This window comes from Homo sapiens, chromosome 9 (assembly GCF_000001405.40).
Source record: "Homo sapiens chromosome 9, GRCh38.p14 Primary Assembly".
Classification (NCBI taxonomy): domain Eukaryota; kingdom Metazoa; phylum Chordata; class Mammalia; order Primates; family Hominidae; genus Homo; species Homo sapiens.
The window spans coordinates 33,450,348-33,473,924 of NC_000009.12; the positions used below are offsets into that span (position 1 = coordinate 33,450,348).

The window sequence follows — 23,577 nt, forward strand, 5'->3', positions numbered from 1 at the left end:
GGCATGCACCACCATGTCCAGCCAATTTTTTTGTTTTTTGTTTTTTGTTTTTTTTAGTAGAGACGGGGTTTCACCACGTTGGCCAGGCTGGTCTCGAACTCCTGACCTCAGGTGATCCACCCGTCTCGGCCTCCCAAAGTGCTGGGATTACAGGCATGATTCACCGTACCTGGCCTAGATAGGCATGTTAAAAAAGAAAAGAAAAGAAAGGAAATAAGGGCTCCCAGTCCCAGAGGTGGTTCATGCCCAAAGAGATGGGTTTAGCATACACATGAAGTAGATTCACATACATGCAGGTGCTTGCGCATACACACACACAAACACACAGACACACACACACACCCTGTGGTTTGCAGTCACACACTTGCCTATAGACACTGAGCTCTGCTCCCATGATCAGGGATCCCATTCACATGAGAGCCTCGCCATGGGCTCACACATATATAGAACCCCCACATGAGGACTCTAATGACCCTTGACCCAGAAAGATGCACCCTACCCTCCAGGCCTCTATAGGCTGGGAGGCCCCGTGGTGAATCAGGGAGCCATCACTGAGTACCTGCCCTCTGGCCCCACTGCCAGCCTGTGACTCAAGACAGAACCATAGACTCCTGGTGCCAGGGCCCAGATCACAGGCTATGGGAGTGGTAGAGCACCCCTGCCATGCTGCCCCCTTTTCCTCCCACCCTATAATATGCATCCAGCCCATCCCTGCCTCAAGTGGAGCTGCAAAGGCAGCACAGGGCAGAAACTGGCAAGGGACTCCTCAACACCGAAAGAAAATAGGGAAACCCAGCCCACAACACCCCATTGTCACCCTGTCCCATCCTGGGTCTGCTGGCATCCAAATCTAGCCTGGGAACCAGAGCAGGGGAGAAAAACAGGGGAAGCTCTTTCACCAGCAGACACTACACACACTTCTATTTTTTATTTCTTTTCCTCTTCCCTTATAAAAGCAACCTGGAGGCCGGGCATGGTGGCTCGCGCCTACAATCTCAGCTCTTTGGGAGGCTGAGGTGGGCGGATCACAAGGTCAGCAGATCGAGACCATCCTGGCCAATAAGGTGAAACCCCATCTCTACTAAAAATAAAATAAAAAAAAATTAGCTGGGTGTGGTGGTGGGCGCCTGTAGTCCCAGCTACTCGGGAGGCTGAGGCAGGAGAATGGCATGAACCTGGGAGGCAGAGCTTGCAGTGAGCCAAGATGGCGCCACTGCACTCTTGCCTGGGCAACAGAGCGAGACTCCATCACAAAAAAAAAAAAAAAAAAAAAAAAAAGGAACCTGGCCTGGAGCCGGGCACAGTGGCTCATGCCTGTAATCCCAGAATTTTGGGAGGCCAAGCCAGGCAGATCATTTTAGCTCAGGAGTTCAAGACCAGCCTGGCCAACATGGTAAAACCCTGTCTCCACTAAAAACACAAAAATTAGGCCGGGTACGATGGCTTGCTCCTATAATCCCAGCACTTTGGGAGGCCAAGGCAGATGGATCACCTGAGGTCAGGAGTTCGAGACCAGCCTGGCCAACATGGATAAATCCCATCTCTACTAAAAATACAAAAATTAGCCAGGTGTGGTGGTGTGCGCCTGTAGTCCCAGCTACTTGGGAGGCTGAGGCAGGAGAATCGCTTGAACTCGGGAGGCAGAGCTTGCAGTGAGTCGAGATCGTGCCATTGCACTCCAGCCTGGGCAACAAGAGCGAAATTCTATCCCCTCGCCAAAAAAAAATTAGCCGGGCATGGTGGTAGGCACCTGTAATCCCAGCTACTCGGGAGGCTGAGGCCAGAGAATCGCTTGAGCCCAGGAGGCTGAGGTTGCAGTGAGCAGAGATCGCACCACTGCACTCCAGCCTGGGCGACAGAGACAGACTCCGTCTCAAAAAGCAAATAAACAAAAAAGCAACCTGCACACACATCTGTCTGCATTCACCTCACATGGGTTTTCTCGTGGGCTGCACCAGGAAGTAGCTAGTTACACACACAATTATGGATTTGTCTGTCTTATATACGTTGAGCAGCATTTATTTATACATATGCAGCTACCTGTACTCACCCATGTATGCATGCATGTATGTGTCTATCTATAATCCTGGACTGCAGCTCACCATAGAGTATCTTTGCAACCCCCTCCAGTCAATGCAGCTGCATGCCAAGGCACATGGTTTAGCTAGCAGAACAAGGGCTGGGTCTCAATGTCCTTGTTCCCCACCCCCTCCATCAGGGCCCAACCTTCAGGACCATGACTCCGTGAACTCTCACCAAACTCATTCATGTCCATACCTCATGTGTACACGCATGTTCATACATATACGTACACATACACATTGGAGTGGCTAGAGTTGGAACTGAGAAGACATGGGTAGATCTTCGTGCTTCTTCTTAATGGATGTGAGAGGACTCTGGCTGGAGGAAGGGGAAGGATGCAGTACTTTCCATGGGCCCCTTATTCCTGTCAGCCCTCCTTGGGTCACCTGGGACAGAAAGGGGTCAGGATCTGAGGATGCCTGTGCAGAAGCACCGGACTGGCCTGACTCGGGGGGGCAGAAGCCCACTGCTCCATTTTGCGACCCTGGGAGCAGCATTCCCTTTGTAGTCAATGTGGTTGGCGCCCCCTAGAGCCAAAGGCGGAAGAAAGCATGGCTCCACAGAGAAGAGACTGAGCTTGGTGAGGCCCCAGCCCTCTGAGTCACAGCTTGCCCAGGGTCCTCAGGGCTTCCGCTTGTGCTTTGGGAAGGAGAGCCAGGGCTGAGTGCAGGCTGGGAGCCAGCCCTCCTGGGTGCTCTGGGAGGAGGCTGATGAGGAGGTTCCCCCTCCTCCCAGGGCATCTTGAGCAAGGCCTGTGTCTCACCTGGGTGGGAGGAGCTGAGCCAGGGAAGGGGCCTGAACATCCCCATCCACCCCGTGGGAGCCCATGACTTCTTTAAGGTCAGAGCTGGAGGAGTGGGTTCCCAGGCAAGGGAAGGGCTAAGGATGCAAGTCTCAGCCTGCTGGACCAGAGGGGCTGGCTGGGGCCCTTTTAAGGGGTGGGAGTGCCACACCTTTCATTTCCTGACCCCAAACTCTTTCTGCTTGAATGGGAGCAGCCCGAACCAGCAAAGAAAGAGACCTGGGCCTTCCTTGTTGTTAGTGAGTCAGAGGTGGGGGTGGAGACATAGGAAGCTACTCACTCTAGAGTACCCCCAAACCCCTAATCTCTTCCAGAGCATTGGAGTGGGGTGGGGGAGGGGCAGAGCAAAGCAGACATGCAGACATATTCTAGTTTAGGAAGCACTTCCTCCCACTTTGCAAAACAGCTCCCAGAAATGAGTGTATTTTCCCCATTTCACAGATGACAAAACTGAGATTTAGAGAGAAGTCACCTGCTGAGGTCACTCAGCCACTGAGTGCTGATCCGGGATTCAAACCCCATAGGGATGGGGAGGACAGGTAAACAGGGCAGAAAGACTAGGGAGCCACAGGTCTGAGGCACAGGGAGAGCAGGGACCCCGGGCACAGAACCCCATTGAGTCCCTCCATGCTCAACCCTGCTTTCCAGAGTGTGCTCCCACTCTTAGGCCACTGTTGAAAACTGTTCCTGCATCTAGGCTTCAAGGGTGGGGAGCTGGCTGTGGACTGGAATCAGGAGCAGAGAGCTGAGATGAATTGCCCTATTAAGAGTGTCCCCAGACTCCTCCTCCTGCGCCAACGCAGCTACTTCCATCTTTAAATGGGTGACCTGGGGGAGAGCCCATGAATACAAACTCCGCCAGCCTTGGGCACCTTCAGCTGGATGTCCAGCTGGGCCTTGAGAAGAATCAACCTTTGACCCATACCCTGGGGACTCTGGGTTCACAGCCTGGTGTCCCTGACCTGCCCTCAGCAGCCTTTGAGGGTTTAGGACAGCTAAGGGTCATGTTGAGACAGCAGAGCGATAGGATGGAGGCTTAGACCTAGAGGCTAAGAGTGCAGAGTCCTAGGGACTAGGCTGATGGGGACAAAACTCTCTTGCACACCCAGAATCTGAGCTCCAGGCTTGGCTTGGCCACTGAACAGTAAGGTCACCTAGATGGCTCTCTTCTCCCACCCCCACAGAGTCTCTCTCAGTGTCTTCATCTGTCACCTGGAGGTTTCAGTTGAAGGGGGCCCCCACCTCCCGGTGGGGCCCTTGTAAGAATCAAAGAAGATTGTATGTTTCCGGCTTTGAAAACTGTACTAGGCTGGGCGTGGTCGCTCACACCTGTAATCCCAGCACTCTGGGAGGCCAAGGCGGGCAGATCACGAGGTCAAGAGTTCAAGACCAGCCTGACCAACATAGTGAAACCCCGTCTCTACTAAAAATACAAAAATTAGCTGGGCGTAGTGGCACACGCCTGTAATCCCAGCTACTTGGGAGGCTCATGTGTGCATCTCCTTGTGTGCCCCTGTCTGGGCCAGGCTGTGGGTCTGGGTCACGTGTTTATAAAAACCAGAGATAGGAGATGCGCATCTGTTGCGAGGTCTAGAGATAAACTGCTGGGCCTGCCCCATGCCAGCCTCAGGGGGAAGGGAGTTAGTGATATGGAGTTGACACAGACCAGTCATCACTGTGACAGGCCTAGGGGGTCTGGAGGGCTCTGGTTCACACCTCAGGATGCCTGGAGCCCCTAGGTTTTCTGATTTCCTATCTCCATCCTCACTGGCAGGAAAGCTTCTGGAACTAGGAGAGGGTTGCTTAAGAGGATGAGGGGTCAGGACCAGAGATGGAGGAGGAAAAGAAAGCTCACAGGTGGCTGGGCGCAGTGGCTCACGCCTATAATCCCAGCGCTTTGGGAGGCTGAGGCGGGCGGATCATGAGGTCAAGAGATTGAGATGATCCTGGCCAACATGGTGAAACCCCTTCTCTACTAAAAACAAACAAACAAAAATAGCTGGGCGTGGTGGTGCACACCTGTAGTCCCAGCTACTCAGGAGGCTGAGGCTGAGGCAGGAAAATCGCTTCAACCTGGGAGGCAGAGGTTGCAGTGAGCCGAGATTGCACCACTGCACTCCACCCAGACAACAGAGCAAGACTCCGTCTCAAAAAATAAAATAAAATAAAAGGAAAAGAAAAAAGAAATTTCAGCCAGGCGTGGTGGCTCACACCTGTAATTCCAGCACTTTGGGAGGCACTTTGGGAGGTGGGTGGATCACCTGAGGTTGGGAGTTCAAGACCAGCCTGACCAACATGGAGAAACCCCATCTCTACTAAAAATACAAAATTAGCCAGGTGTGGTGGCACACGCCTGTGTTCCCAGCTACTCAGCAGGCTGAGGCCGGAGAGTCACTTGAACCCGGGAGGCGGAAGTTGCCGTGAGCTGAGATCACGCCGTTGCGCTCCAGCCTGGGCAACAAGAGTGAAACTCCATCTTAAAAAAAAAAAAAAAGAAAAAGAAAAGAAAAGAAACAAAGCTCACAGGCTTCCTAGGTAGCCTAAACTGAGGCCCAGCATTAGCCTGGCCCCTGCAGCCAGGAAGGGCACATGGAGCATCCTTTGGGCTGGGACAATCAGAGGGCTTACTAGAGGAAGAAACATTTGGCTGGGGATTTTACGGAGGGTTTTCCAGGTGAGAGACTGCAGGGCCAGACCCTAGCAGGGCTGACTGCCTGCCTAGGCAGGACGAGATCAGCAGCAAGGAGGCGAGGAAAGGACCCAGGTAGTGTGGGAAGGGCCTTGGGTTCCATACTGATGGGCAGAAGCTTACCCAGGGCCAAGAGGTATTTGAACTTAGATATTTGTTAAGCCCTGAGGTTCTAAGGAAGCTGTTATAGGGACTGCTGCAGCTGGAGGTGGAGAGAAGGAAGCCGATAAGGCAGAGCCTTGGCCCCACCTCCTGCTTCAACCGAAACATCTTAACCATTTTACATGAGGGCTCTTTTTTTTTTTTTTTTTGAGACTGAGTTTCGCTCTTGTTGCCCAGGCTGGAGTACAATGGCACGATCTCAGTTCACTGCAACCTCCACCTCCCAGGTTTTCAAGTGATTCTCCTTTTCAAGGCGATTCTCCTGCCTCAGCCTCTCAAGTACCTGGTATTACAGGCATGCACCACCACACCCAGCCAATTTTGTTTTAGTAGAGACGGGGTTTCACCATGTTGGTCAGGCTGGTCTCAAACTCCTGACCTCAGGTGATCCACCTGCTGCGGCCTCCCAAAGTGCTGGGATTACAGGTGTGAGCCACTGCGCCCAGCCTTACATCAGGGTTCTGAACGAGATTACAATTGACAAATGTGACACCACTAAGAACAGTGGCTAATGGCAGCCCTGAAGGTTTTAAGCAGGTAAGTGACATGGTTTCAATCTACCATTTAGAAGGACCCCTCCAGCTGCTGAGTGGAAGATGGGTTGGAAGAGAGAGACAGAGGCTGGAAGCCTGGGAGGGAGGCCATGGAGGAGGAAGCGAGGCCAGATGGCCGGCAATGGCTGTGGGGAGGGAGAAGGGTTTAGGAGGCAGAGTGAGGAGGGCAAGCTGGCAAGCAGCTGAAGAAGTTCAAGGGGGCAGAACTGGGTGGACAGGAACCTCAGGTGGGGACCGAGAGGCCAGTAAGACAATGGTTCTCCAAAAGGCCTGTGGTCTAAGGGCAGGGGGTGCGGGTGAAGGGTGGGGAGGAGGTGGCAGAAGGAGGCTATGCATTTGGCAATGCATTAGGTGATGGTTGTGCATGAGCCCCAGTACACTCTACCCTCTGGCCAGCCCCGTCTGGTGGCTAATTATAGGGGAGCCACTAGCAACCCACCCCAGGTGAGAGGAGTCAGGGGAAGAATCCAGGGGAGGGAACAGGCTGCAGCAGGAGATTCCAAAGTCAGACTTCAAGAATGACTTCCTGGTCTCGAGACTGGGGGTCAGTGAGAACTAGGCTCCAGAGGGACCCCCATAGGTTGGGAGATGGGGGTGGGGGCATTGTGGAGGTTGTGGAGGGAGACTGGGGAGAGGGCAGGATGCCATAATTTTCTTTTTTTTTTTTCTGAGATGGAGTCTTGCTCTGTCACCCAGGCTGGAGTACAGTGATGCAATCTCAGCTCACTGCAACCTCTGCCTCCCGGGTTCAAGCAATTCTCCTGCCTCAGCCTCCTGAGTAGCTGGGATTACAGGCACGTGCCACCACACCCAGCTACTTTTGGTATTTTTAGTAGAGACGGGGTTTCACCATATTGGCCAGGCTGGTCTCGATCTCCTGACCTCATGATCTGCCCGCCTCGGCCTCCCTAAGTGCTGGGATTACAGGCGTGAGCCACCGTGCCTGGCCATAACTATCCTCTTCATCCAAACCGTTGGTCATCAAGTGGAACTGGGGCTCAGTCTGAGTGCTTCCTTGCCCCTCCAGACAGGGCCCAACCTTGGCCTCTTCAGTCCTGGGGAGACCCAAGCCCTGACCTGTGGAAGTTTCCAATCTGGGAGAATAGAGGAGAGCTGGGTCCTGCTTTTGAGCTCCCAGGCCAGGGAACAGAGGAGATTTAGGCTTGAGCTGAGGTTGACCAGAATGCTCATACTCCCTCTCTCCCTGCACAACCCCACTCTCCATATCCTTCACCCTGCTCCTCTGGGCTGCTGATAAAAGCTGCATTCAAAAGCCTTGGGCAGGCCGGGCACAGTGGCTCATGCCTGTAATCCCAGCACTTTGGGAAGCTGAGGTGTGTGGATCACCTGAGGTCAGGAGTTCCAAGACCGGCCTAGGCAACATGGTGAAACCGCCCCCCACCCTGTCTCTACAAAACTACAAAAATTAGCCAGGCATGATGGCGAGTGTCTGTAATCCCAGCTACTTGGGAGACTGAGACAGGGGAATCGCTTGAACCTGGGAGGCGGAGGTTACAGTGAGCCGAGATCGGGCCACTGCACTCCAGCCTGGGCGTCTCAAATAAAAAAAAAAATAATAATAATAAATAAATAAAAGGCTTGGGAAGAAGGAGAAGGGGTTAGGCTGGCAAGTGGCCCAAAACAGGTGAGGCTCCTGGCTTTTCCCTACTCCCCTGCCCCACTGGAGAGGTCTGCAGCTCAGGCGTTTCTAGTCCTTTCTTCCTCCACACTCCACCCCTTGGCCCCAGGAAAGCCAAGTTCAAGCAGGTGGCTTGCCTGGAGCCAGGACACCTAGATTCTCAGTAGCTGTACCCCACAAGTTCCTGTGTGACCCTAGACAAGTTCCTACACATCTTGGCCTGATATAAACCAGAAAATTATACTCCCCATTCATTTCTGAAGTAGAAGAGGAAGTCTCCCTCTGGTTTGAAACACCCTTCTTCTTGGTCCTCCTTGGTTCCCTGGGGCAGTGTGAGATGCCTCCTCCTTCTCCCTCTCAGGGGTAGATGAGCAGATTGGCCTTTCCTGTGAAGGGTACGGGTGACTCACGTGCCCCAGGCTTCCCCTCGCCCTTATCACTCACCTGGATTAATCTGTGACTCATAAAGCAAGTACCGGATGTTGGGGGGGTTACATGTAAACTTGGGGGAGGGGGGCTGGCTAGCCTAAATCTGACTTAATAGGTCAGGGACTGAGCAGCCCTGAGGATTTCATTGATATAACATGCCATATGGACCCCTTAGGCTTGGGGTTCTTGCTTTCCTCCCCCAAAGTATGGAGCTGGGCAGAGGAAAATAGGGTCTTCAGCTAACAGGATTCGGGGGTAGAGGAGGTTGTCAGATGCCATAGCCAGAAAGGAGGGCCCTTGTTGAGTTCACCAAATGAGGCTTAGGTCAGTCAGAACACGGGAAACTCTGTATCCTAGCACTTTGGGAGGCCAAGATGGGAGGATCACTTGAGCCCAGGAATTTGAGACCAGCCTGGGCAACATAGTGAGACCCCCAGTCTCTTTAAAAAAAAAACAAAACAAAAAAAACTGGGAAAAGTGAAACCCCAAGAAGAAAGCTTCATTTAAAGCCAGGGGAAGAAATCCAGGGTCCCTGCCTCTGACTTGAGAGCTTTTTCTAACCTGCCCTCTAAAAAACAGGGCAGAGTTCCCCTTTTGCAGCAAACCAGAGCTGGAGGTGAATACCGACAGACAGACAGACTAGTGCATACAGAGGCGTGCACGTGCACCACACACAGAACAGACAAATCATGCCATACTTAAGATCCACTCTGTCTCTGTCCACCTGTGAAGTTAAAGGCAGAGACCCACCAAGGCAGGCACATCCATGAGGGTGCTTAACCATTATCCTGTGTACACTTGCTCACACATAAGGCTTCCTGCTAGGCTTTTCCCCTTCCCTTCCCCTGGGGTTCTGGTTCCTGACTGCCCATCTCCACCCTCCCCTCCCCTGGCCCCTCAGCTAAAGCCTGAGCACCTCCCTACTCTGGAGCTGGGGCCTCTGTGGCTAGACAAGAGTCATCCTGGGCTGGGGCAAAGGAGCCTAGGGCAGTCATCTTGAACACTAGTTTGCTCACCTGTTTTCCAGAGAAAACCTGAGGAAAACAGGTTGGAGCTGTAACTGTGAGGGACTGAAATTAGGGCCAGGCACAGTGGTTCACGCCTGTAATTCCAACACTTTGGGAAGCTGAGGTGGGTGGATCACCTGAGGTCAGGAGTTCGGGACCAGCCTGGCCAACATGGCGAAACCCCGTCTCTACTAAAAATACAAAAAATCAGCAGGACGTGGTGGCAGGCGCCTATAATCACAGCTACTCGGGAGGCTGAGGCAGGAGAATCGCTTGAACCTGGGAGGCGGAAGTTGCAGTGAGCCAAGACCATGCCATTGCACTCCAGCCTGGGCAAGAGTGAAACTCAGTCTCAAAAAAAAAAAAAGAAAGAAAGAAAGAAATTGGACCCAGGGCTTCTTGCCCAGCCACCTCCCCAGTGGAACTGGAGCAGGGAGAACAGGAAGGTATGGTGCAGCGCCTTAGGGTTCTAAATTCTCAGCCCTCTTTCCTTGCCACACTGGGCAATGGTCAGCTGACAAAGCCATTACCATGCCTATTCTATGGGTTGGAAGACTGAACCCAGCAAAGGTAAGTGATTTGCACAGGGCCACATGAGGTGGCAGGGCCAGGGCTCATTTCCCATTGGGACTGGTAACTGCACCTCTTAGAGCCACCTGCTACAGTCCTGCCTGGGGGCAGATTCCACCCCCTCCCCCATGGGGATAATCAAGAGCTGGGTTTGTGAAGGGCCTGAAGCTACAGACAACTGACCTGGAGATGAAACAGGTGATCTGCCACACTTGCAAAGTTAAAGGCAGAGACCCGCCAAGGCAGGCACATCCATGAGGATGCTTAACCATTATCCTGTGTACACTTGCTCACACATAAGGATTCCTGCTAGGCTTCCAGCAACCCTGGCCCTCCCAGGAGCCCATGGAGTGACTGTGGACAAATAGTCCAAGGGACCAAGGGAGGCAAGAGGAAGAGCCAAGGGTGACCATGGACCACGGGGCTCCACAAGGGATGGGATTACATTTCACTCCTGGAAAATAAAGCCTGGCACGTTGATGCTTGAAGCTCAAGAATGAATAGCAGAGGGAGAGATGTGGACTCCAGCTCACACAGCCAGCCAATTTATTCCCTCCCTATTCTAATTTCAACCCTGGGCTGAGCTGCTCCATGGCAGTGACAGTAGAGGCAAGCAGTGATTCACAAAGACCAACAGTTGAGACAGAACTGGAGGCCAGAGTTCCCACATGCAGCTTCTCATCTTGAGGATGGAGCTTGCTAGCCAGGCATCAAAGTTCCTCACACAACGGGCCCCTGCGCTGAGCCTGTTCTCTCACTCAGAAAATGAAGGTAAATGAAAGTACCTACTCCATACGGCTCGTTATGACTGTACGACAAGTTTCCGCACATAAGATACGGATACCACCACCTAACCCCGCCTGGCACCTATTAAGCCCTCAATAAACGTCAACTCTATAATCTCTTAGGCTTTCTCTTTCACCGTCACCACCCACTTCTTGCAGGCAGATTTCACAAATGGATTCCCTTTACTCTGCAATCTTCCAGTGGGCTTCTCTGCCCCCCATCTGCCTGTGCTGGATGGCCCCTGAGCAAAGCACTGTAATAGGTGCTAGGAAGGACACGAAGAAGTCTATGTTCAAACATGTTCTTGCCCTCAAGGAGTTTACATACAAGAAACCAGGTTAAAATTATGTGAAAGGGGCAGACAGGCCAGGAATACGGGGGAAATTAAGCAATTTAACTTTTTATTTAAAAGAGATGGGGTCTCTCTGTTGCCCAGATTGGTCTAGAACTCCTGAGCTCAAGTGATTCTCCTGACTCCCTAAGTGTTGGGATTACAAGCATAAGCCACCACGCCCAGCTGCAATTTAATTTTAAATCAGAGTTCAAAACAATAGAATTTATGCCACTGTGTGTGCCTGCCAAACGAACTGAACAGACAGTAACTGCTCTAATAGTTCAGAGGAGGGAAAGATCACCTCAGGCTGGGGGCGAGGGATGGGCTTAAGGAGGGGCACTATTTGAGCTGAGTCTGGAAAAACAGCCAGAATTACAGGAAGCAGAGAGGCTACCAGAAAGTGGGTGTAGACCAGACTGAAAGGAGGCAGCATTCTCCTCCTTGGGCCCTGGGAGCTCCTGGGGAGTAAGACTTGAGTCTCCCCCATCTCTGCAACCCCACTGCAGGTACATAGTAGTGGCAGTTTGTGACATGAACGGGCAAACAGCCAGGGCAGATGCAGCTAACGGGTAGCCCCCAGTGCTTTTTGCACCTCTCCAAGATTGGGTGACTACCAGTCCCCTGACCCCTTCACCTACCCAATCCTTTCCTGTCCTCGGTTCTTTTCCACTGTCTCCACCCTGGGAAGTGGCATCAACACAGGAGGGCATTGTGCTCCTTCAATGTGGTCTATTCATACACATATAGCCCCTTTCCACTGCTCAGTGTCGGTGATGTGACTCAGAAGGGCCACATTTTCGCTGGGTCCCATCTAAAGGCCTGACACTGCAGTGAAGGGCATGCTAAGTCTAGGCACAGGTCCTGGCAGCAGGAAGGAGACAGAGCCTCTCCCAGGCACACATCCCCTTCTCTGTTTCTGGAAGAAGACTAAGAAAGGAGTGGGAAATCGCAGGGAGGTCCAGGCCCAGGGCTAATAGGTGGATGGATCTCCTGGGTTCAGTTCCTTCTCTGAGCTGGCTCCCACTCCTCTTCTGGGATGGTGAGGCCCAGGAGACTACATGGGCCACCATGCCCCTGCCCCAATGCTGGAGCATCAGAGAGAAAGTTGGGGCTGGGTTTTGTTGGAGATGATTCAGCATGTTCAGCCAGCAGGCCCTCCATGGAGGATTCATGTCCAAGGAGGGTGGAGGTCATCCTACTGACATCTTGCTCTAGAGGTCCAATGTCCTGCTGTCCGTCTACAGCTTGCTCCAGAGCTGGGATCACACAGTCCACCTCTCACTTCGGGCCTCCACAGTCTGCACCAGGCCTTCACCCAGCACAGCAAAGTCCTCCAGGATTGCTTCAACATTGGGCACCATTACTAGCTCCCCACCTCGAGACATCACCATGCGCCCCTTTGTGCTGGAGGCCTGGGGAAATCAGAGAAGAGATGTGGGTTGAGTGTCACAGCGGCACACCCAGAGACACCAAGCTGGGTACAGAGTGGGGGTGGTGGGGATAGAAACACAAGCCCATACACTCCGCACCTGACACGGGTTTGCCCATAGGACAGACTACACACAGACATGCATGCCCACACAGAACCACGTGCACACACTCAGGAACACAGCTGTCACCAGCCAGCACACCTTGAAGGGCTGCGGCTGGAAGCTGGTGGGCTTCCAGAGGACACCAATCACCTCTCCACCATGCTGGTCATAGAAGAAAAGGGCCAGATCCCCAAAGGCCTCCTAGAAAGGGACAGAACAGAGAAGATTATAGGCAGGCATTTAAGAGCTCCTCCACAGCCTCAGCTTCACCTGGAAGTCCCCTCCCCAGGTCATTCAGCTGTTTAGGACCAACCCTGAGCTGCGTCAGATAGAGCTGAGGAGGATCATAGCCCAGCACGGGCATCAGGGATGAGGGCCCCGGCTGGCTGAGCAGGCCCCGGCAGAAGGAGGCAGCTGGCGAGTCCACAGCCTGGCGGTGCCGCGGGATATGGCGAGGAGACAGGCGAATCAGCACGTCGTAAATGTCCAAGGGCGGCCGGAACACTGTCTAAGGAAGGGGAGAAGGAGGGGTCAGCAGGACCCCCTTGACTGAGGAACTGGACCACAAACCTCTCCACACGCCCACCTTGGTTTCCTCCTTCCATCTGACCACCCTCTATGGGCCCACCTGCCCATTTGAAGACTGAAGCACCAAGACCCACAGAGCAAACAGCTGTTGCATAGCCCGGCAGAAGGAGCACAGGCTAGAAACAGGAGACCCAGATGGAACCCAGGTTCCCCAGGCTCTGCCACCCCAGGCACCACAGCAGCTTCAACACCTCCTCTGTTCAGTCTCACCAAACAAGGGGACCGGGTCTCCTGTGAGATCCCTGAACGCTGAACTTCCAAAGACAGAATCCCCAGAGGCCCTGGAGTCACTGCTGGTCAGAAGCTTACCCTGATGTCCCCAGGTCCCCGGGGATCCATGAGCTGCTTCTCTAACATGGGCAGGGCTTCAGCTGCCAGGACCACAAGCTGCTGCAGGATCTGCGGGGTACAGACACATCAGACTGGAACTGAAGTGGGTCTCTCCCAGGTCAGGCTGGGCCTGCTTTTTCCTTGGGAAGAAAACCACACATTAGGGGGCAGGTATGGGGTTGAACCTGGGCTGAGGGTCCATCCTGTGTCCACACAGAGTTTTTGCGGTCTTGGGGGGTAACAATGACCATGACGGGGAGCTGTGCCCGAGCTGCCAGGAAGCCACTGCGGATCTCCACCTGCTCCTCCACTAGAGACAAGAATGGGTCCTGGGTCAGCCTGCTCCTCCCTGTAAGACACCCTCTACTCCCCCAGGTCCTCCTACGGTGCCCCCAACGGCTGCTCATCACAGGTATTTTTCAACACTCCCCCCCACCAAGTGGCAAAGGTGACGAAAGGGACATCGCATTTGCCTCAACTGGGTGGGGCATTAATCGCCCAACCTCAGCCCAGAGGCAAAATTTTCCACTGCTTGGCACCCCCAGTCTGGTTTCCGGGCCTGCACAAGCTGAGTCTTGCCCCTGGCCCCCTCCCACCATGGGCTTCCACACACCTGGGGAATTAGGAACCTGACACCCTGCTCTCTGCAGAGACCGAGTGCCTCACGTTACAACCAGAAATCACCACTCCCACCCCCACCAAGAGGTCTGAGTATCTGTGCTACACTTCCTAGCTCCGTGCCCTAATACTTCTTACGTGGTATTCAGGATCCCCCTTCTATTCTCCTCTTCCTTCCACAGCCCCCCGCCAGGTAGCTTGCTTACCACCCTATCATTCTGTCTCTGACAATTAAGAGCAAACCATGTCATAATGGTCAGGCTGTTCACCTGGACCTCTTCTTCATGTCAGGCTTAGACATCTGGGGCTGGGGAGGCACAGAGAAAACCTAACACTGCCAGGGAAACCCTTGCCTGCAATCCATAAAGAGCTGTTCTTCCAGCAGTCTGACCCCTGTTCTACCACTTACCAGTGAGCTCATTATTGAGGTTGACAAAGAGGGGGTTGTTCTTCCAATCAAACGTTGATACCAAGAAAAGGAATCGAAGGAAGCCAACCTGGGGGGAACTAAAGGGCTGGAGTAAGCAAAGAATCCAGGGCCCAGCCACATATCCCCAGGCTTCTCTCAGGCTATGGAGCTCAGACCCCCTGGTGTGGATTGGCAGGGCAGGGCATCTTAGAACCCCTTCTGCCACTTGCTCAACCACCCATTCCCATGTAGACTTAGGGTGCAGCACGAAGGATGATGGCTGGCCGCAAGGAAACTTCTCAGCTGGGGAAAAAGTGGAGGGAATCACCTCGGAGGGGTGAAGGGCTCAGGGTGCAGGAAAAGGGCAGCGGCCACCAGATCCAGGCTCTCATCAGCGAAACCCTCACCAAGAAGCTGGGCACGCACCCACCGCTTGGCCAGCCGTGCCACACCAGAGAAGGCTGGGTGCTGCTGCTGCAGTCTGCAGAGAGAAGGGGAGTGTCAGCGAGACTCAGGGCCCCACTGCCACTGTTCATCCAGCCCCTACCCAAGGCCAGCCTCAGTGATAATAGGTTACATATGTAATCTCATATTCTCTTAAGAAATGCACCAAGAAGTTGACCCTAGTGTTATTTCCATTTTACAGATGACAAATATAGGGACCAAGGAGGAAAATCTGACCATAGGGTCACAGTCAGTAAGTGGCAGAGCCAGGATTCCAGAACCTGCCTGACTCCAGAACTCATACCCCTAACTATGATACCATCTGGCCCCTGGAGAGACAGGTGGCTAGGTGAGGAGAATGGGGGCAGGAGGGGGCCTACAGACAGGAAGAAGCTGTGTCAGTGGCCTTACCCGTGCAGGGCACTGGTGAGCAGTGGCAACTGCCTTGTGTCTCTCTCAAGGCGGAGGGAGGCAGCTGTGTCCCTCAGCGAGATCATCCCCTCTGGGCTCTGCACCTCCTTCAGGATCTGGGGCTCCCGCTGATAGGCCACGCGAATCCGAAACACAAATCCATCCTGTTGGAAGAAGGTATGGAAAGAGAAGGATGTGTCAGCCCAGAACCCCGGGAGTACTCTGTGGCCTACAGCCCTATTACCCAGCGTGGTACCCACAGGGGTGTCTTCTTCCACGCCCTGACATCCCTGGTGCCCCCCTTCCCTGGGGACATATCTGCCTGCACCAGCCTAACCTTAAGGACATCCGTGTGCGTGGCAGTGGCACGGCACTGCAGACCATGCTGTTGTGTCAACAGCTCTGCCAGGCGCAGCTGGAAGGCAGCTCGGACCCGCTGCACGGCCTCAGCGTCCTGTGGCCACTGGCCACTGCCCTCCAGGTGACAAACCACTGAGGAAGAAGAGTCAGAGGTCTCATACTGTGGCCTGGAGCTGGAACTATCCCTCCCACTCCCTCCCAAGGGCCCTCTTACCGGTCATGGGCTCCACGTAGGCCGGACAGGGCTTATCGAGCCGGGGCAGCAGTGAGGACCGCTCCCGCAGAGTCTCATAGAAGGAGAAGGCTGGACGGACTGGAGTTGGTGGGAACACCTGTGGAAGAAGAGGGGCTGAGGAATGGGCCTAGGACTGGGAGGGAGTGCCCAGAGTCAGGAGTTGGAAGTGGGGAATACTGGGTGACTGGAGCAGAGGTGGGGCCACTAAGCAGAAAGGTCACCTGCACCGTTGCACCTCACCTCTGTGTAGCGCAGCACTGGGTGAGCTCCCTGAACAGCAGACACGGTCAGTGGGAGACCCTCTAGCCCCCACAGTAGGCGACTGAGGTCGTCGTAGCAACGTACCGCCGCTACCAGGGCCTCCTCACCTGTGCTGGAGGTCTGAGAGGGAGAAGACGGTCAGGAGGCTGGACCCTACAGAAGGCCAGCTTCACCTGGATTCTGCCCCAGCTCAGGCTGCAGCAGAGCCAGCACCGCCGCCTGCTGGACATGCCAGGAAGTGCAAGCTGGCCAAGGCTGAGAGGACTCTCTCCCCGCAGATTGATTACTCTACAATCACTAGCCTTGACCCCAAGACCCTTACCTCTTTCAGGCCTTGGATAAGTGCATCCAGGGGGCCCCCCACATAGTGGACACAGGTTTCTGGGATGTCAGCATGGCTGAAAAAGAGGCAGAGACACAGTGAGAAAATTTGGGGCTATGTTCTCGCTCAACTGCCTGGGCCAGACCCCTGAAAAGGCTCCCCAGCCCACACTGCCTTCTGGAATCCAGATGCCAACACTCACAGTGCCAAGAGGTGGGTGACCACCTGGTGGGGAATAAGGCGCTTCTGGGACATAGAGGCTGCCTCCCAGACCACAGCTTCCCGAATGGCTCCGTCCTGGAAACGCCGAAGCTCCGAGCGGGATCCCCAGAACTGGCGGAATTTAGCAGCCTGAGGAGGCAAGGGTGGTAGTAGAGCTGGGGAAGGAAGGGCTCTGTGGACCCTCCCCAACAAGCTTCAGTCCAGGTGCCATGAGGACGAGCCACCCCATTCCTTCCAGTGTACATGCTGGGGTCCCCCACCTCAGGCTGGTCTGCCTCTGGACCCAGCTCAAGGACGCTGGTCAGTCCCTCAGGCCGGAGAAGGAGTCCCAGGGTCAGGGTCCCAGAGTCTTTGTGCTTTGGTGGATCTTGGCTGATGTCCCACTGCAGGATTTCAAAAGGCTGAGCTCAGTCCTCCAATCCTCCAGCCTGGCCTAGAAACCTACTTTCTAGCTAGCTAGAAACGCCTAGCTGGAGGAATGGTGTGTCCTTTGTGTCTCTTGGGACCCTGGATCCAGCCCAACTCAGACCCAAACTCCCCAACCTACACCACCTCACCTCTGGGACTGGGGGTCGAGAGTGAGCCAGCAGGTTCAGCCGAGCCCCCAGGCCCTGCTCCAGGAGGGTGGTCAGGGGGCCCAAAGCAGCTGAGACATAGTCCCCACCATTGTCCTGCAGCTCTGGCCAGAGCTTCAGCCGGTGGCACGCTGCCTGCAGGCGACTCAGTGGACGGAGACTGGAGGGGTACAAAGGGCCAAAGAGGGGTAATCAGGTTGCTGGCCCCTAGTACCACCTCCTCCCTGAATGATCTGAGCACCTGTCTGAAGACCTTTGCCCCACCACTGTAGCCCCGAAGAGACAGGACCCGCCAACATACCCTGTCACCCCTAAACTCACTGCAGGACATGGTCAAAAGCCCGGATCATGGGTTTGGGAGTCATCAACAGCAGGTGGAACCCGTCGTCAGCTCTGCTGTCCAGCAACATCATAGACAGCCGTGCCTCATGCTGTACCTGGAGCCACAGAAGGGACCATCCCTGTGCCCTTCATTGATCCAAGGGCTTAGACCAGGAGACATGCCCTAAACTTAACTCTTTGAAGAGGAGTTTCTGGGGTTCTGGTACTTGCAAAAGGGACAGAGTCTGGGCTGAGACATCAGGGGAACACAGATTGGGGGCCCATTGGTACCTGGTGGTAAGTAGAGGCAGTGACATCAGCACAGAGGTTGAGATGGCCTGAGGAATCCAGGAAGACAACGGAGAAGGCCTGGTGGAAGTCAGCCAGGGCCGGCTTGGGGGGTGTAGAGAGAAGCAGGTCAGGATTGGCACCTTACTTGCAGGCCTCCTGGCATAGACCTGGCCCTTCCCCAACTCACCAAAGAGGGATCTGAGCTGAGACATAAACTGATCCCGTTGACTGTCAGGTCTGTAGTGGCTGAAGTGAATCACAAGTGTATTAGAAGGTATCCCCTTCTGGGGACCCAGCCCTAATGACACCCTCCCTCAGCCGATTCAGTTTGCTCATCTGTCTGATGGCAAAACACCAAAAGACTGCTACTGGGATGAGAGGATTCCCAGGAGGAGTGGAGCCCCTGGCCTTTCCCCACCTAGTTGCCTCACCCAGAAACTGCAAGACACTTCTCAGGACCTGGTAGCCACTCATGGTGGTATGGATCTTGCGTGTAGACACAAGGAAGACAACCAGCATGGAGACAAGGAACCCAGTAAACCCACCCTGGCCCTGAAAGAGACAGGGAGAGGCTGAGGTCAGAGCCTGCCCATCACACAGGCGCTCAGGTAGGGAGGCTGCGCCACCCCCAACTCACCTTGTCCAGCTCCCGCTGCCGCAGCCAGACCTTCAGAAGTGCCACGCCATCCTTCAGGCCCTGGGCTGAACTCAGAATGGTTGACAGCAGCTGCAAATGGGACTCGAGAACTGTATCTTGCAGGACCCATGTGTTATAGCGGGGGGTAGGAGGCTCTGGGCTACCTGTGGGATGAAAAGGGAAGCCATGAGAGGAAAAGTCCCCACACCTCTTCCCTCCAGCTCCACCTCAACACCAGGGCCTGCTCACCATCCCCTGCAGGACTCTGCCCTCGGTACCAGGCAGAGCGCACATTGTTCTTGGTTGGCAGCAAGCGGCACGGGCGGAAGAAGTCAGGTGGAGGGCACGGATGCAGACGTACAGTGACCAGGCGCTCATCCTTTCCTGCCAGAGACAGTGAGTGCTGAGACTCTGCAGGAGCCCTTGGAGCCAGAGGGCTCCCCATCCTGTCCCCCCATACTTGAGGCCTCCGTGCCTCTGTGCCTTCTCCTCCAGATTTACCATCCCATGCTATGCCCTCAGCCCAATGTGTGCCTCTCACCACGCGGCCGCAGCAACAGTGAGGGTTTCAGGTGGCAGCCATTTGTGTAGGAGAAGCAAACACTGCCAAAGAGGGGGTCCTGGGCCAGGTGGTGAGCCAAGTGGGCCAGGTAGAGGGCACGCTTGCGGAAGTAGCGCTGGTTCAGCCCGTCCTTGTCCTGTAGGATTTCCTGGAGGGGCCAGGGGAGAAGAGAAGGCCAGGCACATAAGTGCTTGTGGAGCTGTGGGCCAAGGTGAAACCAAGGTGAGAGAGCCAGGGCTCCTCTGCTGACAGAAGTGCCTGAGCCACGGTTAGCAACACTAGGCCCAGTTCTCATATCTGGAGAGCAAAGCTCCAAAAGGACAGCAACTGGCCCGAGGGATCTAAGCTGCCTTCAGGATGCCTGCAATGGTCTGCTCTTCTGATTTAGAATTCTGACTTCAATCCCCTGGCAAGCGGCAGATAAGAAAGAGGGATCCAGGATTTGTAGGTAGTCAGGTGGTGGGCCTCTATCCCCTAAACCCTGGACCTTACCCTGGGCATGGTCAGTGCCACATCCACATTGATGTCTGGTCGGATGCAGGTGCCCAGAAGGTAGCTGCCCACAACAGTAACCTGGGCTGGGGGCAGGAAGCGGAAACAGCCCTTCACGGCATAGGGCACTTGGTGGAGGGGCACTCGAACCCCAGCTGGGAGCCATGCCTGGTCAGTGAGCTGTGGGGGCAGAGACAGGGACACATACTGATTCAACTGCCTTCCTCACATGTACCCTTTATGTCTAGAAGACATTTTAACACATCGATATGTTTGAAACCAAACTCCCAATCTTCCCATAACTATGTCTTCCTTGCTAAGACAACTCCATATGAGTTGCTCAAGCCAAAACCACTTAAATCACCTTAACTTAGCTCTGTTAAGAATACCCATTTTACGAGCCGGGCGTGGTGGCTCACGCCTGTAATCCCAGCACTTTGGGAGGCCGAGGTGGGCGGATCACGAGGTCAGAAGATCGAGACCATCCTGGCTAACACGGTGAAACCCCGTCTCTACAAAAATAATTAGCCGGGCATGGCGGCGTGCGCCTGTAGTCCCAGCTGCTGGGGAGGCTGAGGCAGAAGAATGGCGTGAACCCGGAAGGCGGAGCATGCAGTGAGCCGAGATCGCACCACTGCACTACAGCCTGGGGAACAGAGCAAGACTCTGTCTCAAAAAAAAAAAGAATACCCATTTTACTACCAAAATGTATTCAGAAATGGATCACTTCTCTAAAAAGAAAACTTTTTTAAAACAGAGAGAGGAAAAGATTTAAAAAAAAAAAAAAAAAAGAAAGAAATGGATCACTTCACTACTTTCCTCCCTAGTTTGAGGAGCCACCATTTCTCAGTGCCTAGACTAGTTCCTAACTGGTCTCTCTAATCTCATCATTGTCCCTCTCGATTCTACTTTTGACACAACAGCCGGAGTAAATTTTTCTAAAACTAAACTTTTTAAGGCTGGAAAAGTGAACGTTTTAGGCTGGGCACGGTGGCTCACACCTGTAATCCCAGCACTTTGGAAGGCCAAGGAGAGCAAATTACCTGAGGTCAGGAGTTCAAAACTAACCTGGCCAACATGGTGAAACCCCCTCTCTACTAAAAATACCAAAAAAATTAGCCGGGTGTGATAATCCCAGCTACTCGGGAGGCTGAGGCAGGAGAATAGCTTGAACCCGAGAGGTGGAGGCTGCAGTGAACTGAGATCGCGCCATTGCACTCCAGTGTGGAGGACAAGAGCGAGACTTCGTCTCAAAAACAAAAACAAAAACGTGAACTTTTAAAAGTTAGAGGGCATCACTGTTCTGCAAAATAAAATCCAGCAGTGGCTCCCCATCTCACCCAGAGCAACAGCCAAAGTCCCTACTTCGGGACACAATGCCCTGCATGATATGCTACTTTTCCCCATCACCTTTCTGAACTCATCTCCTTCTGTATTCCTCATTCATTCCAAGGAATGTAACTGGAACATTCCTGCCTTTGTGCCTTTGTACTGGCTGTTCCCCCTTCCTGGAATGCTTTTATTCCCTTAGATATCTATATAGCTGACTCACCTACTTCAAGTCTTTACACAAATGTCACTTCAATAAGGCCTACTTTGTGAACACCCCCTTTAAACTTGTAAACCACTCCCATCCTCTAATACTCCCAATCCCCTTACATTGCTCGTCCTACTTTTTCCTTTTTCCAGTGTTTACCACATTCTAACATTGCCATAGAGTTTACCTGTTATGCTTATCTATTAACTATAACCTCAGCATTACAGCATAGGCTATTATTTACTGATATATCCTAAGAACACAAATACTGCAAGGCATGGAAGTACTTGCTGAATGAATACACAAATGACCACGCTCCCAGCTAAGCTTCCTTGCTGTGAGAATGAGCTCCCTGCACCCCAACCCTTAAACAGAGTAACAGCAAGGCCCCTGTTTGATATACCCCCACTGGAGGTCTCTCTTGGGCTTCCCAGTTCCCCAGGCCACTTGCTTACCTCTGTCTCAGGGACTGAGGGCACCCTCACAACCCGCTGGTTGACCTCCCGTAGGAAGGCATCAATCCGATCCTTCTTCTTCTCTGACAGCCTTACTTCCTTTAGTAGCTCCTCTACCTGTAAGAGAGGGTAGAAGACAGTCCATCAGCCTCAGGGTCCCAGGTACACACCTCGAACAAAAGCTGCAGACACTCAACAGTACCTGTAAACGAAGCAAGCTGGAGTGGAACAAGATCTCAGTCTCCCGAAGGCGATTAAGCTCCTCATTGGTAGGCTCCTTGTACAGTTCTGCCCTGCTGAGCTTCACTGGCTGCAGGAGGCCCTTCGCTGGAGGTTCAGCCAATGTACGCTTCCTGGAGGATGCTTTCTTCCCCTCTTTGCCTGTGCCTTCCAGGGCTGGTTCCATCACCTGTGGCCAGTGAGGGAGAAGCCATTTTGAGGTAATAGGTATCTAGCATCTGCTGCCTAAAGTGCCACCATGATAGGTTGTGGGTAAAAGCTTCACCTGCTCTGTCCCTCTTTTGAGTAGGAGTCAGATTTTGTAAAACTCAGGAGAATCGTTACTTGGATGAACATCACTGAGCGCTGAGCCGAAAATTCCTTGAGTTAAGAGCTCTCCTGTCTACCTGACACCACAAGCATGGAGCTCTGTTTGGAATTGGTAGTGATAGAAGCTGACTGGGCCCAGGCTGGACACGGTGGCTGACGCCTGTAATCCCAGCAGTTTGGGAGGTGGAGCTGGGCGGATCAGCTGAAGTCAGGAGTTCGAAATCAGCCTGGCCAACATGGGGAAACTCCGTCTCTATTAAAAATACAAAAATTAGCCAGGTGTGGTGGCACATGCCTGTAATCTCAGCTACGCGGGAGACTGAGGCAGGAAAATCACTTGAACCCAGGAGGCAGAGGCTGAAGTGAGCCGAGATCGTGCCATTGCATTCTAGCCTGGGCAACAGAGCAAGACTGTCAAAAAAAAAAAAAAAAAAAAGAAGCTGACTGAGCCCTGCCCTAAGTAATGCCCAGGCCCCTTGTATTTTCAGGAAGTTTCCTCTTCTGCTGATATAGGCCTGGGACTTCTCAAATGTCTTTCCCATTCTCGCTCCAACCAAATCCTGCCAGGTTCCACCTCCTCTAGGAAGACCTGACTGCCTCAGTTTACACTAAATACTCACTGATGGAAGGAGCTAGAACCGACTGGACCCCAGAGGACACATTTAGCAAGTCATTAAATCCTCAAAATAATTCTTGAAGACACTTGAAGTCCCACTATTCACTCGAGGTTCCACAACTGGTACACCCGTACTATGAGCAGGCTTCAAAGGCAAGCGTGCAGGATCCCAAACCTTTTCCCCTACAGCCGTGGGCCCATCCGCTCCACGATGCCTCTCATCCCAGAGAGCCTTACTGGAGCGCTCCAGGAGAGGCACCGTATGCCCTCCGCTACAGCGGGGAGCACAGAACTGGACACAAATTCTGTGGAGGAAGATCCCGCTTATCGTCAAGGACCACCAAATAAAAGAAACGACCCAAGTGTGGGTCTCTTCAACTTTGAGGTGCAGAGCTCCAGAAGAGAGCAGAGGCTCTACCGGCTTCACTGCTTCTAACCAAATACTGCCAGGTTCCATCACCCCTAGCAAGCCCTGTCTCAGTGCCACTGGCTGGAAACATCCTCCAGAATGGGCCGCCGGCATGGCTTTCACCCGCAAGCTGTCAGATCACGCCATCTCGGGCCCTGCAGCCAAGGGAGCGCACATTGAGCCTCTGTTCCTCCCCGATGGCTCAACCCACCTCTGGCTCTCCAGTCGCTCCGCGAAGCTGCTCTCCAGCTGGCGCCGGCCCCATCACTCAGGGTCCAGCACTCTCCCGCACTTCAGATTCTAGCCGGGTCTATACCTCATAGCTTCCCACGTGGGCGGAAATGCCT

General features: G+C 53.7%; 1 protein-coding gene and 1 non-coding gene across 4 annotated transcripts, besides 7 other annotated features; both read right to left on the reverse strand.

Annotated features, from left to right (window-relative positions):
- Positions 2,265-2,778: an enhancer, noted in NCBI's record as "H3K27ac-H3K4me1 hESC enhancer chr9:33452610-33453123 (GRCh37/hg19 assembly coordinates)". NCBI's record gives its function as "activates a minimal SCP1, AML or CMV promoter by ChIP-STARR-seq in naive H9 embryonic stem cells {active_cell/tissue: H9 hESC(naive)}" and the evidence as "EXISTENCE:reporter gene assay evidence [ECO:0000049][PMID:30033119]".
- Positions 2,265-2,798: a biological region, named in NCBI's record as "Sharpr-MPRA regulatory region 5008".
- Positions 2,504-2,798: an enhancer, noted in NCBI's record as "tiled region #5008; K562 Activating DNase matched - State 8:EnhW". NCBI's record gives its function as "activates a minimal TATA promoter and a strong SV40 promoter by Sharpr-MPRA in K562 cells {active_cell/tissue: K562}" and the evidence as "EXISTENCE:reporter gene assay evidence [ECO:0000049][PMID:27701403]".
- Positions 2,601-2,730: an enhancer, noted in NCBI's record as "active region_28295". NCBI's record gives its function as "activates an Ori minimal core promoter by ATAC-STARR-seq in GM12878 lymphoblastoid cells {active_cell/tissue: GM12878}" and the evidence as "EXISTENCE:reporter gene assay evidence [ECO:0000049][PMID:35858748]".
- Positions 7,807-9,006: an enhancer, noted in NCBI's record as "P300/CBP strongly-dependent group 1 enhancer chr9:33458152-33459351 (GRCh37/hg19 assembly coordinates)". NCBI's record gives its function as "activates an origin of replication core promoter dependent on BRD2, BRD4, P300/CBP, MED14 and CDK7 cofactors, with strong dependence on P300/CBP, by STARR-seq in HCT116 cells {active_cell/tissue: HCT116}" and the evidence as "EXISTENCE:reporter gene assay evidence [ECO:0000049][PMID:35650434]".
- Positions 8,251-8,410: an enhancer, noted in NCBI's record as "active region_28296". NCBI's record gives its function as "activates an Ori minimal core promoter by ATAC-STARR-seq in GM12878 lymphoblastoid cells {active_cell/tissue: GM12878}" and the evidence as "EXISTENCE:reporter gene assay evidence [ECO:0000049][PMID:35858748]".
- Positions 11,006-23,577, reverse strand: NOL6 (nucleolar protein 6). 3 transcript variants are annotated; one of them, NM_022917.5, is made up of 26 exons: positions 23,442-23,577; positions 21,859-22,065; positions 21,657-21,773; positions 19,665-19,844; positions 19,152-19,320; positions 18,860-18,994; positions 18,611-18,774; positions 18,405-18,525; positions 18,161-18,219; positions 17,974-18,075; positions 17,683-17,798; positions 17,344-17,521; positions 17,047-17,169; positions 16,767-16,915; positions 16,565-16,640; positions 16,222-16,362; positions 15,961-16,078; positions 15,724-15,878; positions 15,387-15,550; positions 14,860-15,012; positions 14,532-14,629; positions 13,690-13,814; positions 13,484-13,573; positions 12,900-13,094; positions 12,686-12,787; positions 11,006-12,466 (listed from the first exon to the last, which is right to left on the reverse strand). In NM_022917.5, the coding sequence occupies exons 1-26, from the start codon at positions 23,493-23,495 to the stop codon at positions 12,317-12,319; spliced, it is 3,441 nt and encodes a 1,146-aa protein (NP_075068.2). In that variant the 5' UTR covers positions 23,496-23,577; the 3' UTR covers positions 11,006-12,316. The 3 variants fall into 3 exon arrangements, with proteins under 3 accessions (NP_075068.2, XP_047279696.1, NP_631981.2); XM_047423740.1 differs by lacking the exon at positions 23,442-23,577 and adding an exon at positions 22,162-22,390; NM_139235.4 differs by lacking the exons at positions 12,686-12,787; positions 12,900-13,094; positions 13,484-13,573; ... (5 more) ...; positions 15,961-16,078; positions 16,222-16,362.
- MIR6851 (microRNA 6851) lies at positions 17,522-17,588 on the reverse strand. The gene has a single exon (NR_106910.1). It is a non-coding gene; the product is annotated as a microRNA 6851 (primary transcript).
- Positions 23,189-23,528: an enhancer, noted in NCBI's record as "active region_28297". NCBI's record gives its function as "activates an Ori minimal core promoter by ATAC-STARR-seq in GM12878 lymphoblastoid cells {active_cell/tissue: GM12878}" and the evidence as "EXISTENCE:reporter gene assay evidence [ECO:0000049][PMID:35858748]".

Coding starts and splice junctions, on each gene's coding strand:
- NOL6 (NM_022917.5), bottom strand. CDS start 23,495: ATGGGGCCGGCGCCAGCTGGAGAGCAGCTTCGCGGAGCGACTGGAGAG. Junction 22,066..23,441: donor GAGCGACTGGAGAGCCAGAG/GTGGGTTGAGCC, acceptor CACTGGCCACAG/GTGATGGAACCAGCCCTGGA. Junction 13,574..13,689: donor AGGATGGACCCTCAGCCCAG/GTTCAACCCCAT, acceptor TGTACCCCGCAG/ATCCTGCAGCAGCTTGTGGT.